At 45.0% G+C, this 15,796-nt stretch overlaps 1 protein-coding gene, 1 long non-coding RNA gene and 1 pseudogene across 43 annotated transcripts in view; 1 reads left to right on the top strand and 2 right to left on the bottom strand.

Annotated features, from left to right (window-relative positions):
- LRRC37A17P (leucine rich repeat containing 37 member A17, pseudogene) overlaps positions 1-7,584 on the bottom strand; it is a 37,223-nt pseudogene extending 29,639 nt beyond the window's left edge.
- The window catches only part of LRRC37A2 (leucine rich repeat containing 37 member A2), a 676,337-nt gene that overhangs the window by 24,355 nt on the left and 636,186 nt on the right, over positions 1-15,796 (bottom strand). The gene's annotated exons all lie outside the window — the stretch shown is intronic.
- LOC101927060 (uncharacterized) overlaps positions 1-15,796 on the top strand; it is a 117,500-nt gene that overhangs the window by 75,512 nt on the left and 26,192 nt on the right. For 32 of the 42 annotated variants that reach the window (XR_007065805.1, XR_243711.6, XR_007065812.1 and 29 more), the window contains one exon: positions 3,053-3,192. This is a non-coding gene — a long non-coding RNA (uncharacterized LOC101927060). Of the gene's footprint in view, positions 1-3,052; positions 3,193-6,308; positions 7,051-14,037; positions 14,705-14,732; positions 15,782-15,796 lie in introns of those variants that run through there. The other 10 variants (XR_007065778.1, XR_007065795.1, XR_007065799.1 and 7 more) reach the window with 4 other exon arrangements.

Below are 15,796 nucleotides of genomic sequence, written 5' to 3'. Positions count from 1 at the left end.
TAAATATAATTAACTAACTTACAAATACTGGAGGGATAGCAGGCCTTCAAATGAATCCTTGTGTAATTCAGTCAAGTTATTTTCTCTGAGAATTCTGGAAAATGAAGAAGTTATTTCTAGATTAAAATGCAAACTACAACTATTTGCTACACAGGACTGTCTCCTGCATGTGGAGGAAAGCTGGGTCATGGTCACTTCAAGATGGTGGGATCTGCTCTGCTTTCATTCAAACCTTTTCTTACATTTTCCTTTTTGTGTCCATCTCTCTCCACCACCACCACAAACACACACACACACACTCAAGCACACCCCTACCCACTCTTCCCACCAAATTGTATTATTTCATGCCTCCTGTCTAGATCACAAAATCCCTTTTAGAATCAACTCTGGGTGGCACCAAGATCAGCAGAACCTCCATTTCCTCCTCTCTTTTCCCAAACCTTATTATGAAAGCCCCACATGGAACCATGTCAGGGCTGCAAGTGAAGCCATTCAACCTTTTCCCCTCCATCAAAAAAATTGGAGAACTATAATGTGCATAAAGTGCACATAACATAAATGTTGTTTATATTTAATTTAATTTTTGAGACAGGGTCTCACTCTGTTCCCAGACTGGTCTCAAACTCCTGGCTCGAGTGATCCTCCTATCTCTGCTTCCCAAAGTGCTGTGACTGCAGACATGAGCCACCTCACCTGGCCAAATATTCAGTTTAATAATTATAAAGCAGATACCCATGTAAACATCGTTACAAAAGATCATTTCTAGCTTTCCAGAAGCCCCAGTGTGCCCCTTTCCAATCATATCCCTCTCTCTAACCCTAATAGGTAACCACTATCCTGACCTTTGTAATAATTTTCTTGTTTTTAAAATGTAGTTCTGGCCTGGCGTGGTGGCTCATGCCTGTAATCCCAGCACTCTGGAAAGCCAAGGTGTGTGAATCACCCACGGTCATGAGTTTGAGACCAGCCTGGCCAACATGGTGAAACCCTGTCTCTACTAAAAATACATAAATTAGCTGGGTGTGATGGAGGGCACCTGTAATTCCAGCTACGCGGGAGGCTGAGGCAGGAGAATCGCTTGAACCCGGGAGGTGGAGGTTGCAGTGAGCCAAGATCGCACCATTGCACTCCAGCCTGGGCAACAAGAACAAAATTCCATCTGAAAAAATAAATAAAGCAATTCTCCTGCCTCAGCTTCCCAAGTAGATGGGATTACAGGCACCCACCACCACACCTGGCTACTTTTTGTATTTTTAGTAGAGATGGGGTTTCGCCCTATCGGCCAGGCTGGTCTCAAACTCCTGACCTCAGGTGATCCGCCTACCTCCCAAGGTGCTGGGATTAAAGGCGTGAGCCACCGTGCCTAGCATATGTTTATTTTTAATTTAGAACTCATCATGGCTTGTCTATATACATTGAAATAATGATGTGACACACAAACTGTTGTGAAAAATGTCAGTTACTTTGAATGTAAGCATTTTTTCCAAAATCACTTATGTGTCTAAACCAATTCCTTCTATAAATCAGTAAGAAAATGATAAAACAATTCAACAGGAAAATGAACAAAGGCCAGAAAACTCAGAGAAGAAGCACAAATGTTCAACAAACGTATAAAGATATTTAATTAAATTCATGAGTAATCAGAAAAATTCACATTTAGATGGAATCCCTTTTATTCATCCATAACTTCAGCAAAAAGTTGGAGAATACCCAGCAGTGAAAAGGTGTCGGGAAATGAATGCTGTCATATTCTGCTGACAATAGAGTAAGTTGGCACAAAATTTTTGAAGGCAATTAAAATTTTATATCTACATAGTCTTCACCCCAACAATTCCATTTCTAGATATCTATGCTACAGGAATACTTGCACATGTTCACAAAGAAGCATGTACAGGGATTTCATTGCAGCAATGCATGTAACAAGAAAACTAAGCATAATCTAAACATTCATCAATGGGGGAATTATTAAATAAACCATGATGCATCCATACTATGGATTATGCAGGAGTTTAAATGAATGGGGTGACCCTCTAAGTACTGGGAAGGAAAGAAATCTAAGGCATATCATGAAGTGAAAGAATCACGTTGTAAGATGTTACCCTTTATGTGAAGAAAAAATTTTAAAAACCACAAAACAAATCTATTTTGCTTTATGTAAATATGTATGTAGGTAAATGGGGAAAAGTCTGGAAGCATGTATACTAAATGCAGAGTAGCATTACTTCAGGGATGAGGGAGTAGGGCACAAGGAGAGTTTTTGTTATATCTGTTATTGCATTTTTATACATTAAAAATGGAATCATGGGCTGCGGGTGGTGGCTCATGCCTGTAATATGAACACTTTAAGAGGCCAAGGTGGGAGGATCACTTGAGCCCAGGAGTTCAAGACCAGCCTAAGCAGCATAGGAAGACCCTGTCTCTACAAAACATACAAAATTAGGTGGGTGTGGTGGCATGCACCTGTGGTCCCAGCTACTGGGGAGGCTGAGGTGAGAGGATCACTTGGGCCTGGGAGGTGAAGGCTGCAGTGAGCTGTGATTGTGCCACTGCACTGCAGCCCAGAGGACAAAGTAAGAACCTGTCTCTGGAAAAAAAAAAAAAAAAAGAGAACAAAAAGGAATATAACCATGTATTATTTGTATGATAAAAAATAAATTTAAATTGCCTCTTATTTTAAAGAGAGCCTACCAAATTTAATTTTAAAATAACCATACGATTGCAGTCAACAGTGGTTGATTTGGGGCATGGAGGAGAAATATCTTTCCTCAGAGGTACCGACCTCAAAATGCTGGACCAAGAAAGATCTTACAATGCAGTTAGCTTTTTGTCATATTTGGAGAGAATATACTCACAGTTTCTCGGTCCAACTGTACACTTTCCATACATTTCCATCAATGTAAGAAATATAGTTTCCTTGGAAATTTCTGTGAAGAAACACAGTTTATATCCTTGAATAGGTAGGAAAACAATGAACACGATAAGTAAAAGAATCATTGCAACCTTGTTGGGGATATTCAGAAACAGAAAATAACACCTGCTTTCTCATTTCCAGAGCTATCAGCTTCCCAGTTTGCACAATTCATCAAGAAATTATGCGGGGTCACTGGCACAAATGATGAGGCATCTCCTGGAAGCTTAACTTCTTATCCATCCCATCTCTTGGACAGATGATGCCAGTTAATTACTTTGAATGTAAGTATTTTATCTAAAAGCACTTATGTGTCTAAACAGACTTCTACAAATCAGTACCAAAATGGTAAATAATTCCACAGAAATATGGGCAAAAGCTTATCATTATCAACAAATGAGAAGAAAGAAACCCTATGCCAGGTAACACCAAAGCTTTGGCCCAGTGCCCTCTGTTGAAACATCCTAGGCTTTTTCTTTCCACTCCTATTACAACTGATCTGATTTGGCCCCTTCACACTTCACTCCTAGATTTTGCTAGACCTTTCTATTTTGTCTCCCTGAATTAAGCTTTTCCTTTTGGACACTTTACATATGGATTCTAAAACAATCCTCTGCATGTCTACACTTGCACATAATGCAAAAAACAAAATAAAATAATCTTCCTGTTTTGATCATGTAATCTCTTGCTTGGAAACTTTCAATGGCTTTCCATACCTCATTGTGTAACTTTCAAACTCCTGTAGCTGATAATCAAGGTTTTACAGAATCATATCTTCATTGCTCCCTCACCTAATTCTTTGTAACCACGTTGGTCTACTAAATTCCAACCATACCTGTAGCCAAGCGTTTGCCTAGACTGTACTCCCATTTTTTTTCTATTTAACAAATTATAGCTACTCTTTAAGACCCAAGTAAAGTTTTAGCTTACCCATGTAGCATCTCCACACCTCAAGGATCACAGATTCTGGCAAATTCTAGCACCAATGGTCTGCATTATCTTTTAGTACTTAATTATATATACCTCCCTTTTTATGCCTATTCTCTTTCTTCCCTCCTATTTTTTTTTTTTTTTTTTTTTTTTTGAGATGGAGTCTTGCTCTGTCACCCAGGCTGGAGTGCAGTGGTGCAATCTTGGCTCACTGCAAGCTCTGCCTCCCAGGTTCACGCCATTCTCCTGCCTCAGCCTCCCGAGTAGCTGGGACTCCAGGCACCCACCACCATGCCTGGCTAATTTTTTTCTGTATTTTTAGTAGAGATGGGGTTTCACCATGTTAGCCAGGATGGTCTTGATCTCCTGACCTCGTGATCCGCCCACCTCGGCCTCCCAAAGTGCTGGGATTACAGGCGTGAGCCACCACACCCAGCCTCTTCCCTCCTATCATTTTCGTGTTCTGGAGACAGTAGCATACTTGGCCCTGGGTTTGACATAAAACTAGTTCTACATATAGAAAGCTAGGGACAAAGATGAGTTCTGGACAAAACTAAAGGACTGAATAATCATGTGAACAGCCAACTCTCCTACATATGCTAAGCACTGATGAAGTGTTTCATATATTCACTCACCTAAATTTCACAACAATCCTATGAAATGCAAACTAGCATGATCCCCAGTTTAAAGGTGAGGAAATTGAGTCACAGGCAGAATAACTTGCTCTGGGTCACCAAGCTAATAAATAGATCTGGGTTCAAACCCAGGCAGCCTGGCTCTGGAATCAACTCTTAACCACTTAGAGCATCATCACTGAGATCGGGAGAGGGACAGGCTGCTGTAAAGAGGGTGAAGCAAAAATGGGAGGAGAGCAGCGGTTAAGCAATGATGTGATGGGGCTAAATAAAAATGGATACGAAAACGAGTAAAAGACCAGAGTAAAAGGAAAAGACTGGAGAAGGGGCCTAACATTAAAGGAGAATGAGGAGAAGGGAGAGTTGACAAGCAAAGGTGAAAGCAGAAAGTCAGTTGTCCATATGGCTTGGGGAGATAAAGAAGGCCCAGGAAGGCCTCCAGGAAAAGGCTGCCATGTCAGGCAGGACACAGAGGGCAATTGAGGAAAGGTGATTCTTACAAGATGGTGAAGGTGCCATTGTGGGTGTTGGGCTCTGGCACAGGCACTTGCGGAGCCTCTGCTCTGGGTTGAGATCAATACATGACAACATCTCATCTCCGCAGGTACAGAGCTCACATATGTTGGTGCTTGTGGAGGCCTTCTGTTCCTCTGGTGCAGTTAAAGCCTTATCTTGGATGTAACTTTCAGACTGCACCAATGAATCCTGACTAGGTTCTAGCACAGTAGGTGGACCTGTGACTTCAGTCAGTTTTCGATGCAGAGTCTGAAGCTGATCTGGATGAGGAGCTGTAGTCTTCTCCAGGGCTGTAGAATGTCCAATCTCTGTAGTGGGCTCTGGAGTTATGGCAAGCCCTAGGTCTGGAGGCTGAGTTGAGGTCTCCTCCGTGGTTGGAGATGGTTTAACCTCTGTAGTAGGTATTGTAGTTATGGTAAGCTCCAGGTCCAGAGGTTGAACGGTGGCTTGAGTCAGGTGTGAATGCTGAGCCTGACCCTTGTCTGAAGGTGGAAGTGTCACCTCAGGGTGTCCTGGAGGAGGAGCTGTAGTCATCAGGGCTGTAGAAGGTTCAACCTCTGTCATGGATTTTGGAGTGATGGTAAACCCCAGGTCCAAAGGTTGAACTGTGGCTCGAGTCAGGTGTGAATGCTGAGTCTGAACCTGGTCTGGATGTGGAAGTGTCACCTCAGGATGCTTTGGAGAAACTATAGTCCTCTTCGGGGGTGTAGAATGTCCAACCTCCGTAGTGGGTTCTGGAGTGATGGTAAGTCCCAGGTCCAAAAGTTGAACTGTAACGCTGGGTGACACTGGATGCTGAGCTTGATCCTGACCTGGTGTTGGATTTGTTACCCCTTGATATATTCGAAGTTGGGGTACAACTTTCTTAGGAGGCTGAGTTGGGGTCTCCTTCATGGTTGGAGAAAGTTCAACCTCTGTCATGGATTCTGGAGTGATGGTAAACCCCAGATCCAAAGGTTGAACTGCGGCTTGAGTCAGGGGTGAATGCTCTGGAGGTTGAGCTACAACTACATTAGGAAACTCTGGAGTCTGAGCTGGGGCCTCCTGATGGGTTAGGGAAGATTCACCCTCCTCAGCGGTCTGTGGATGCTCAGCTGCAGCCTCCTGCTGGGTTGGAGAGGGGTTCTCATTATTAATAGGTTCCGGAGACTGAAATGAAGTCTCCTGTTGAACTGCTAAAGGTCCAGCTTCTTCCGATGACTCTGGAAGCAGATGTGGGCCCCCGTGCTGGATGGTGGGAGGTTCTACATCATTACCTGACCCTGAGAGCTGAGCTGTAGCCTGCTGGTGGACTAAAGAATTTCCCACCTCTGCACTAGGCTCTGCTGCTATGGTGAGCTGCACGTCTGGAGGCTTCACAGAGACACTGGGTGAATCTAAATGATGAGTTTGATGGTGACCTGGAGGTGAAACTGTGACTTCATGATGTTCTAGAGGCTGACCTGGGGTCTCCTGCTGGGTCAGAGAAGATTCGACCTCCCCAGAAGACTCAGAAGGCTGAACTGGCTGCTGCTGCTCACTGATGGAAAGTTCATGCTCCATAGGAGGAACTGGAGGCTCAATTGGGGCCTCCTGTTGGGTTGCAGAAGGTTCCACCTCCTCTGGAAACTGAATTGGGGTCTCCTGCTGGGTTTGGGAAGATTCTGTCTCATTGGTAGGCTCTGAAGTTATGGTAACCTCCACATCTGCAGGTTTAACTGTAATGTTGGGCAAGTGATAATAAGCTTGATCCTCACCTGGAGGTTGAACTGACACCTCATGATTCGGTAGAGTTAGACTCTCCATAGAGGACTCTGGAGGCAGAGCTGGGGCCTCCTGCTGCATTGAAGAAGGTTCTTCCTCAAGGAGCTGTGGAAGCTGTGCTGGGGCTTCTTGTTGGAGTGAAGAGGACTGGATGTCTTCAAGGGTCTCTGGATTTTGAGTTTCGGGCTCTAGATGGAATTGAGAAGGTCCAACTTGCTCAGAGGGCCCTGGAGGCTCATCTGACTTCACCCGGAGTTCTGGAGGCAGGCTACCGGGATACGGTGTATCTGTACTGGAATATTCATTCTGCAAATTCTGTTTCTGACTATGAGGTGTGGATAATTGGCGTATAATTCCAATAATCTCAGCAAGGCTCCAACGCTGAGCTGGATCTTTCTTCAGCTTCTTGGGTGAAACAGGGAGCCTTTCCTGTGGACTCAGCTTGTCCTTTAAATCCTGCTGTGAAGCCAAGAACTGCTCTGGCTCCAGGGGCAGCTCTCCAGCTGAATCCCAGGTGTCCAGGAATGGAACCAAATTTTCAGTCGATTCCTGGGGTGGGGCTGGCATCTCTGAGGAAGCAGAGGGCCCCAGGTGATCAAAGTCCCACGGGTCTGCTGGGAGAGTAGGCGCATGGGGAGATTCCCGTGGGAAATGGGAGGAGTGGGAAGACCAGGGCTCAGGCGGCCCCAGGGGGTTAGAGGTCAGCTGGAGCGGGTCCTTGACCCACTCCAGAGGCTGAGCCTCCTTGACTAGTAGCCACAATAGTTGCCACATAAGGAGGGGCCATGGGCCCCAGAAACGCAGCCGGGACATGACACACGCTAGTGCCGGGCACTGAGCGGAAGTCATTCTGGCAGCTCCGAGACACTCGTGCCCCTTGTAAGCGTGAGTCCCGCCCTGTCTTTATGACACCTGTATTTATGCCACAGATCTGCTCCATGTCACCAGGGCACTCTTATGTCACAATCCCGCCCAAGCACGCCTTCCCATCCTGCCCTGCCGGAACACCCCTCTCCTCCCCTTAGTGAGGAAGGATTTGGGCCTCAGACCCTGGTGGTCCCAGGACTCCAGCGCCTGCTGTGGTGGGGTAGGGTGGGGTAGGGTGGGATGGGGGCGCGGCAGAGCTTCCCAAGGAAGTCACCGGACCTCGCCTCAGGATATTCAGAAGTGCTAGTTCAGTTCTGGCAGCCTTCCTCCTTTAAGGTGAAATCCGAGAACACTCTTCCTTCCAGGGAGAGCAACTGACCTGCAAAATGGGCGCCAGGATGCACATTACAGTCATTTATTCCAAAGTGTTGCCATTTTCGCTAAACTGTCGCATGTTTGATAATTAATTCACCACCCTATTAGGTAGGGGCTGCCAGGGAATAAGCGAGGACTCCAAATTTTCTGTAGGAGGGGTGTTGGGAGTTGGCAATTCGGTCTGGGAGAGAAGGTTTTAATCCGAGTGAAGAGCCCTTTGCACTAGCCTGGGAGGAGGCTGAACTGTCATCCTGCCTTGACTCAACACAGCCATTCCCCTAGAAGTTACAGCACTTCTAGGGTCACCTGTGTTCAGAGATCTACCCTGTGTGCACACATGGAGAAGAGGCTTAGGTTGTTAAAGTCAGCATGTTAAATCATTTCCTGAAATGCGACTGTAACTAGAACCCAGCTGACTTCCCCCACAGCCGTTCTTACCTATTTTATTACTGTCTGGCATAATTACCAGCATGTAAACTCCAAGAAGGTGCTTCATCTTATTCCAGTGCCTGGCATAGGCATAGGGTGCATAGTGATGGCTTTAAAATTGAAGGGGGGCCGGGTGTGGTGGCTCACACCCATAATCCCAGAACTTTGGGAGGCCGAGGTGGGGGGATCACTGAGGTCAGAAGTTCGAGACCAGCCTGACCAACATGGTGAAACTCCATCTCTACTAAAAATACAAAAATTAGCCATGTGTGGTGGTGCATACCTGCAATCCCAGCTACTCAGGAGGCCAAAGCAGGAGAATCGCTTGAACCTGGGAGGCAGAGGTTGCAGTGAGCCGAGATCGCAACATTGCACTTCAGCCTGGGCAACAAGAGAGAAACTCCATCTCAAAAAAATAAAATAAAATAAATAAAATGGAAGAGATTCCAAGATTCACCTCATTTAGGGATGGAGCTATTGTTATAATCAGATTTCTGAAATGAGTGCTGACTTCCTCTCACATTTCACAGGAAGCTAGACTTCTTAAAGCTTGAAGTCTCCTTGGTGGGTTTTATTTAAATTGAATTAAAATTATTATTTTACAGGGAAAAATTTCAAAACACTTTGCAACTTTGGGGTAAAAGTTAAATAAAACACTGTAGCCCCAAGTTAAGTTCCCACTGAAATGATACTTTTGCTCCTTTTTTTAAAAAAGTTTCCATAAATAGTAAATAATGACTGTTTTGAGATTAATTTAGAAACAATCCCTATTTAAGAGCTTTCATATGCAGTCATGCATTGCTTGCCACGTGAGGAGCTTGAGAAATGCGTCACTAGGTGATTTCACCATTGTGCTAACATCATAGCATATACTTACACAAACCTAGGTGGTGTAGCCACCATACCTAGGGTACACGGTATGGCTTAGGACTCCTAGGCTACAAACCTGTACTTTATGTTACTGTACTGAATACTAAAGGCAACTGTCACACAATGGCAGGTATTTGTGTATGTAAACATGGAAAATATATAGTTAAAATACTGTGTAAAAGACAAAAATGGGGCCTGGGCGCAGTGGCTCATGCCTGTAATCCCAGCACTTTGGGACGCCAAGGTGGGTGGATCACTTGAGCTCAGGAGTTCAAGACCAGCCTGGCCAACGTGGTGAAACCCCATCTCTACTAAAAATACAAAAATTAGCTGAGTGTGGTGACGCGTGTCTATAATCCCAGCTACTCAGGAGGCTGAGGTAGGAGAATCACTTGAACCCGGGAGGTGGAGGTTGCAATGAGCTGAGATCGTACCACTGCACTCCAGCCTGGACAACGGAGTGAGACTCCATCTCAAAAAAAAAAAAAAAAAAAGATAAAAATGGTATACCTATATAGGGATAGCTCCATTATACGCTTACGGAACCACCATCATATATGTGGTCTACTGTTGACCCAAACTTCATTTTGCAGCACATGATTGTAAATGATTGACAGAAAGATCTTCGGCAAAATATTCCACCCAAGATACGTGGGAGATATTGAGATCCAAGCAATAAGCCATATTTGAAAGGCATTATAGTTTTTGAAAGCTGTAGCGCAATCATTCTTAAGGCCAGTTACCTTCTCCCCACATCTCTGGGATCCTGTTTGAAGGGAGTTCTAACAAGGCCTGTGTTCGAGCAGCCCAGCATCCCTTACTCCTGGAGCGGGGGGAGACTAACCCCTCTCCTGTGTCCACAACTGTAGTAATACAATCCTCAGTTCTGCTCTCCAAACTTCAAATAAGGGGTCAGAGCCAAGGGTCAAGACTTTAGGAAAAGCCCCAGAAATACCCTGCACTCAGAAAGCAGTTTCAGAGTTTCACATTTTCCTGAGAATGAAACAAATTATCCTCCAAATTCTGCTGCTTGTTTTGAATTATGGTTACACTGGCTATGTTATCCGACCCTTGAGTTGTTTTTCTTTTTTCTTTTTTTTTTTTTTTTCTCGAGATGGAGTCTTGCTCTGTCATCCAGGCTGGAGTGCAGTGGCATGATCTTGGCTCACTGCAACCTCCACCTCCTGGGTTCAAGCGATTTTCATGCCTCAGCTTCCCAAGTAGCTGGGATTACAGGTGCCCGCCACCACACCCAGCTAATTTTTGTATTTTTAGTAGAGACGGGGTTTCACCATGTTGGCCAGGCTGGTCTTGAACTCCTGACCTCATGATCCGCCCACCTTGGCCTCCCAAAGTGCTGGGATTACAGGCATGAGCCACTGCACCTGGCCTGTTTGTTTGTTTTTTGAGATGGAGTCTCACTCTTGTTGCCCAGGCTGGAGTGCAATGGCATGATCTGGGCTCACTGCAACCTCCGCCTCCCGGGTTCAAGCGATTCTCCTGCCTCAGCCTCCTGAGTAGCTGGGATGCATGTGCCACCATTTCTCCATGTTGGTCAGGCTGGTCTTGAACTCCCGACCTCAGGTGATCTGCCTGCCTTGGCCTCCCAAAGCACTGGCATTACAGGTGTGAGCCACCGCGCCCAGCCCTGTTACTCTTGAGTTTTTATCTCCACATACTTGAATTAAACTGTGTAGTTCTTTTTCCCATCTGATATTTACAATCTCTTCACTGGGTCATACTCCACAGCTATTTTACCACTTTCTGAAATAAAGTTAGCAAGGATCAATTCAGAATCTTTTTCATTCTAAAACTTCCTGCATATACTGGTCGCACCCCACAATGAGACATTCTTTTGGTTTCTAAAAGCAGAAAATAAGATGTGATGATTAAATGAAATAATGGCCAGATCTTGGTTCACATTCCACACAACAGGGAACCACGACTCTAGGGAATGTGGCTGATTCCCAGGCTGTAGCAGGAAAGGGTTATGAGATCAGTCTGGATTCTTGTTGTACCAGAAATTTTAAAAATGCTCAAAGTATGGATTGGGGCATGTCAAATGGACACAAGAGCTAGCTCAAAGAGGCACTGACTGGCCAGATCTTGGACAATATTTTTTGGTAACAGCTTTATTGAGATATAATTCATGTATCATAGAATTAATTCCATTAACGTGTACAATTCAATGGTTTTTAGTATATTTGCAGAGTTATGCAACTACCACCTCACTCAGTTTTAGAATATTTTCACCAATCTAAAACAAAACCCCATTTAGCAGTTACTGCCCACCCCGCTCCTCCCAATGCCTGGCAACCACTAGTCTACTTTCTGTCTCTATGGATTTGCCTACTCTGGACATTTCATATACATGGAGTTACATAAAACATGGCATTTTGTATCTGGCTTCTTTCACTTAATGTTTTCAAGGTTCATTCAGGCTGGAGCGCATAATGATACTTTATTCCTTTCTATGGTTGAATAATATTCCATTGTATGAATAGACCATATTTTGTCTATCCATTCATCAGTTGATGGACATCTGGGTTATTTCTATTTTTGGCTATCGTGAATAATGCTGCCATGGACATTCACGTATAAGTTTTTGTGTGGATATATGTTTTCATTTCTTTGGAGTAGAGTTGCTGGGTCATGGGGTAACCCTAGGTTTAAGCTTTTGAGGCCTACCAGATTTCCAAAGTGACTGCATCATTTTGCATTCCCATCAACAGTATATGAAGGTTCTAACTTCTCTACATCTTCACCAATATTTGTTATTGTCTGTCTTCTTGACAAAAGTTCTCCTAGTGGGTGTGAACTGGTATCATTTTGTGGTTTTGATTTGCATTTCCTGGATGGTTATGAATGTTGATTTTACTTTCATGTGCTTATTGGCCATTGTATATCTTTGGGAAAATAGCTATTTTCCCAAACTTTTGCCCAGTTTAAAATTGAGTTTTCTTTTTATTACTGAGTTGGAAGTGTTCTTTATATATTCTGGATACTAGACCAGCAGCAGATATATGGCAGATATTTTTTCCCATTCTGTGGGTTGCCTTTCACTTTCTTGGTGGTGTTCTTTGAAGCCCCAAAGTTTTTAATTTTGATGATATGCAATTTATCTATTTTTCCTTTTGTTGCATGTGCTTTTGGTGTCATATCTAAGAAATCATTGCATAATGGTTTCCAAGGTAATCTGGGACTATTAGACCATCAAAATAGATGATAGTAACAGATTATACATTGAATGGAATAGGAATTCATGAGCCCATAATAATAATAAATTGACAAAAAGATACATAGTGTGGAGCTGAATTGGAAACCTCTTCCTGACAATAAAAGGTTGACTGATAAATGTGGAAGAAGTCATGAAGTTGGAAAATAATAATCATTTTTCAACCATCATAGATTGATTTCAGCAAGAATCATCATCGGATGCTAAATCTGAGGTGGTGGGAAGCCTGCTGAAGAACTGGATATGTCCACGATCTTATAGGGTCTCCCCAGAGATTGTTTATTCATTGCATAGAAAAAAATCAGTAACTATACAATGGATAACCAGACATTTTTTGATCTTGCAATCAAAATTAACATCTCCAGTGAGGGACAGAGAGAGAGTGTGTGCCCCCAAGATGTGATTCCCAGGGAGGACACATCATTTATGTAGTATTCTATCCAGGGATGCATAGCCTGTGTCTAATCCTGAGGAAACATCAGAGTTGAACTCACTGAAAATCTTTAAAATTACTGGTCTGTATTGCTCAAAATGGCCAATGCCATGAAAACTGAAAGGCTGGCCTGGCGTGGTGGCTCATGTCTGTAATCCCAGCACTTTGGGAGCCTGAGGTGGGAGGATCGCTTAAGGCCAGGAGTTTCAGACCAACCTTGGAAACATACCAAGACCTCATCTCCACATTAAAAAAAAAAAAACAACTTTTTTTTTTTTTTTGAAACAGAGTCTAGCTTTGTCACCCAGGCTGGAGTACAGTGGTAGAATCTCAGCTCACTTCACCCTCCACCACCTCCCAGGCTCAAGCGATTCTGCTGCCACAGCTTCCCAAGTAGCTGAGATTGCAGGCACCCACCACCACACCTGGCTAATTTTTGTATTTTTAGTAGAGATGGGGTTTCACCATGTTGGCCAGACTGGTCTCAAACTCCTGATCTCAAGTGATCTACCCACCTTGCCTCCCAAAGTGCTGGGATTACAGGTGTAAGCCACTACACCCATCCTGGAAAAAATATACTTTTGATAAATCTGAAAATCTGGGGCTGTTTCTGTCACTGAGGGAAGGTGTGTCTTTCCCCTTAAAGTAGGTGTATGTTGCTAAGGAGGCAGAGGGCTGAGTTCTTCCATCCATCGCCTTCAAGTGTCAGGCGGCTTCCGGTTGGACAGGATGGCTACCCTTGTGGGCTTGTTTCCTCTCTGGTCTCTTTTTCTGTCTAAGACTCACTCCACACCAGCCTGAGCTTGGGACCATTCTTTTGCTCCTCTCATCCTCCTACCCCTAGAGCTGATAAAATTTAGCAAATAAAATTTACAAGATCCCAGAATTTCGGACAAACAACAATCCACCCCACACTGCCTCAGGAGGGTCCCTCAGAGATAAGTGTCACTGAGCCTCGGGAAGGAGGAAGGTCCATCCCTGCCCATTACGCCCCCTCTCGGGGTTTTCTCAAGGAAGACAGTGGTTCCAGAAGGTGTGTTCCCACCCCCTTTCATAGCCTACTTCTCTCCCATCCCTCTCTGACCCCGGGTTCCAGGTGGCCTAGGGATTTCTGGGAGGATCCGAAGAACAAGGCTGTCTGCAGTAGGAGCCTCCTGTTCCTCGCCACCTAAGCTTCAGCCCTGCCCAACTAACAGCTCTCCATGTTCTAAAGAAGGTGGGAGTGCTGGACCACCCCAGCCTTCTGGAACCCCAGTTCTGTGACATTATCCATCTCCTGGAAATATGCTGGTTTTAACCATGCAAACTGGCCAAGCATCAGGCAGAAATAGCAGCTGTGCCTGGAAGGACAGGTGACATCTGTGAAGAAAATGGCCAAGCAGGACAGGGTGGAGAGCACGGGCTGTTCCCTTCCTTTCTGGGAACAGCACCACCTTTGGGGGAACTCCTTCTCTCATGGGGTTTTAGGCAGGGGCTGCCAGTCCCAGGGCCCTGCCTCCTGTCACCCCCCATATGCATAGGAACACTTGTGCACCAGTCGCTACATTTGCAAGTGGAAGCTGGTGGAGCTGCTCAGCTCCCAACAGGAAGCCCATGTGTGCGGGGCCAGAGGACACAGCCCATCTGAGGCGCTAAGCTTCTGTGAAGAGGGAGTGGAGTCTGGATGGGATTCCAATCCCACGGTCCACCCCTTCTGGGACCCAGACTCACCCTTCCCCTTCCTTCAATTCTGAGAAACAATAAATGTCCCTACTTGCGAACAAGTTTGAGTTGGGTTTCTGTCACTTGCAGCCAAAAGAGACCTGCCAGCTACAGTCAGCATCGGTCAACCATCTGTGAAACTGTGAGCTGACAACTTGTCCCCTCCCGGCGAAGGCCACAACATCCCAACACCATTAGTCACCAAGGAAGTCTGGGAGAAGTTTCTACCAACTGTAGCGAAAAAGGTGCAAGGGAGGAAACATTTTGTTACTGCTGGCCCACTCTTCCCTCCGAAACAGCGCGGCAGCATCTGGCAGAAAGAAAGTACAAGGGACTTCTAAGTGGGCAATGCTGCCCCGTGCCCTCCAGACTTCTCATCCCAGCAGGGCAGCAGCACATGGCGCCCTGGGACAGGAGGCCTGCCGGGGCGTGGGGGCGGAGGCTGAGCTCCTGGGGGCACCACTTTATGAGGAACCATTTATGGCCAAAACTCTACAGGGGCTTCAGGGACCTGAATGAATGCGTCTCTGTAGAGTGAGAGTCCTGGGCAGGAGGAGAAGTTTCCATAGCTCAGGACCACATGCTGGAAATTTGGTCTCTGCAGCTTAAAATCTGAGAGAAGATGGTGTCTGCAGCATTCAAAGGGGGACCAGAGGGACCCTCCACCCCCAGCTCCCCAGCTATGACAAACATGAGCTCTGGGTAGATTCCTATCCATTCAAAGAACTGGAAAAGCCAAGCTGGGGCCCATGAGTCAAGTCTGGATGTGCGGCTCAGGGCAAGAGGACAGATGGATGCCACAGGCCGTCTGTCTAAATATTTGCAAGTTATAAATTAAACTAACAGGGTGTTAAATAAAGTATATTCTAGCCTCAGCCCCTGACAAATATTCCTTTAAAAGGATAAAATTTTTTAGATGTGTATGAAGCTATGATTTGTAGATAACAGAAAGTTAGCAAAATGTCAAAGATCATACAATTTCTTTGCTTTTTTTTTTTTGAGATGGAATATCACTCTGTTGCCCCAGTTGGAGTGCAGTGATGTGATCTCAGTTCACTGCAGCCTCTGCCTCCCAGGTTCAAGCAATTCCTCATATTGAAGCGAGTAATAAAATAAAGAAATGTGTAATTTATAAATTACTGAAAGTATTCCAT

This window comes from Homo sapiens, chromosome 17, assembly GCF_000001405.40.
Source record: "Homo sapiens chromosome 17, GRCh38.p14 Primary Assembly".
In the NCBI taxonomy this organism is placed as follows: Eukaryota; Metazoa; Chordata; class Mammalia; order Primates; family Hominidae; genus Homo; species Homo sapiens.
The sequence above is the reverse complement of the archived record's forward strand: the minus strand, read 5'-3'. Positions and strand labels throughout refer to the sequence as shown.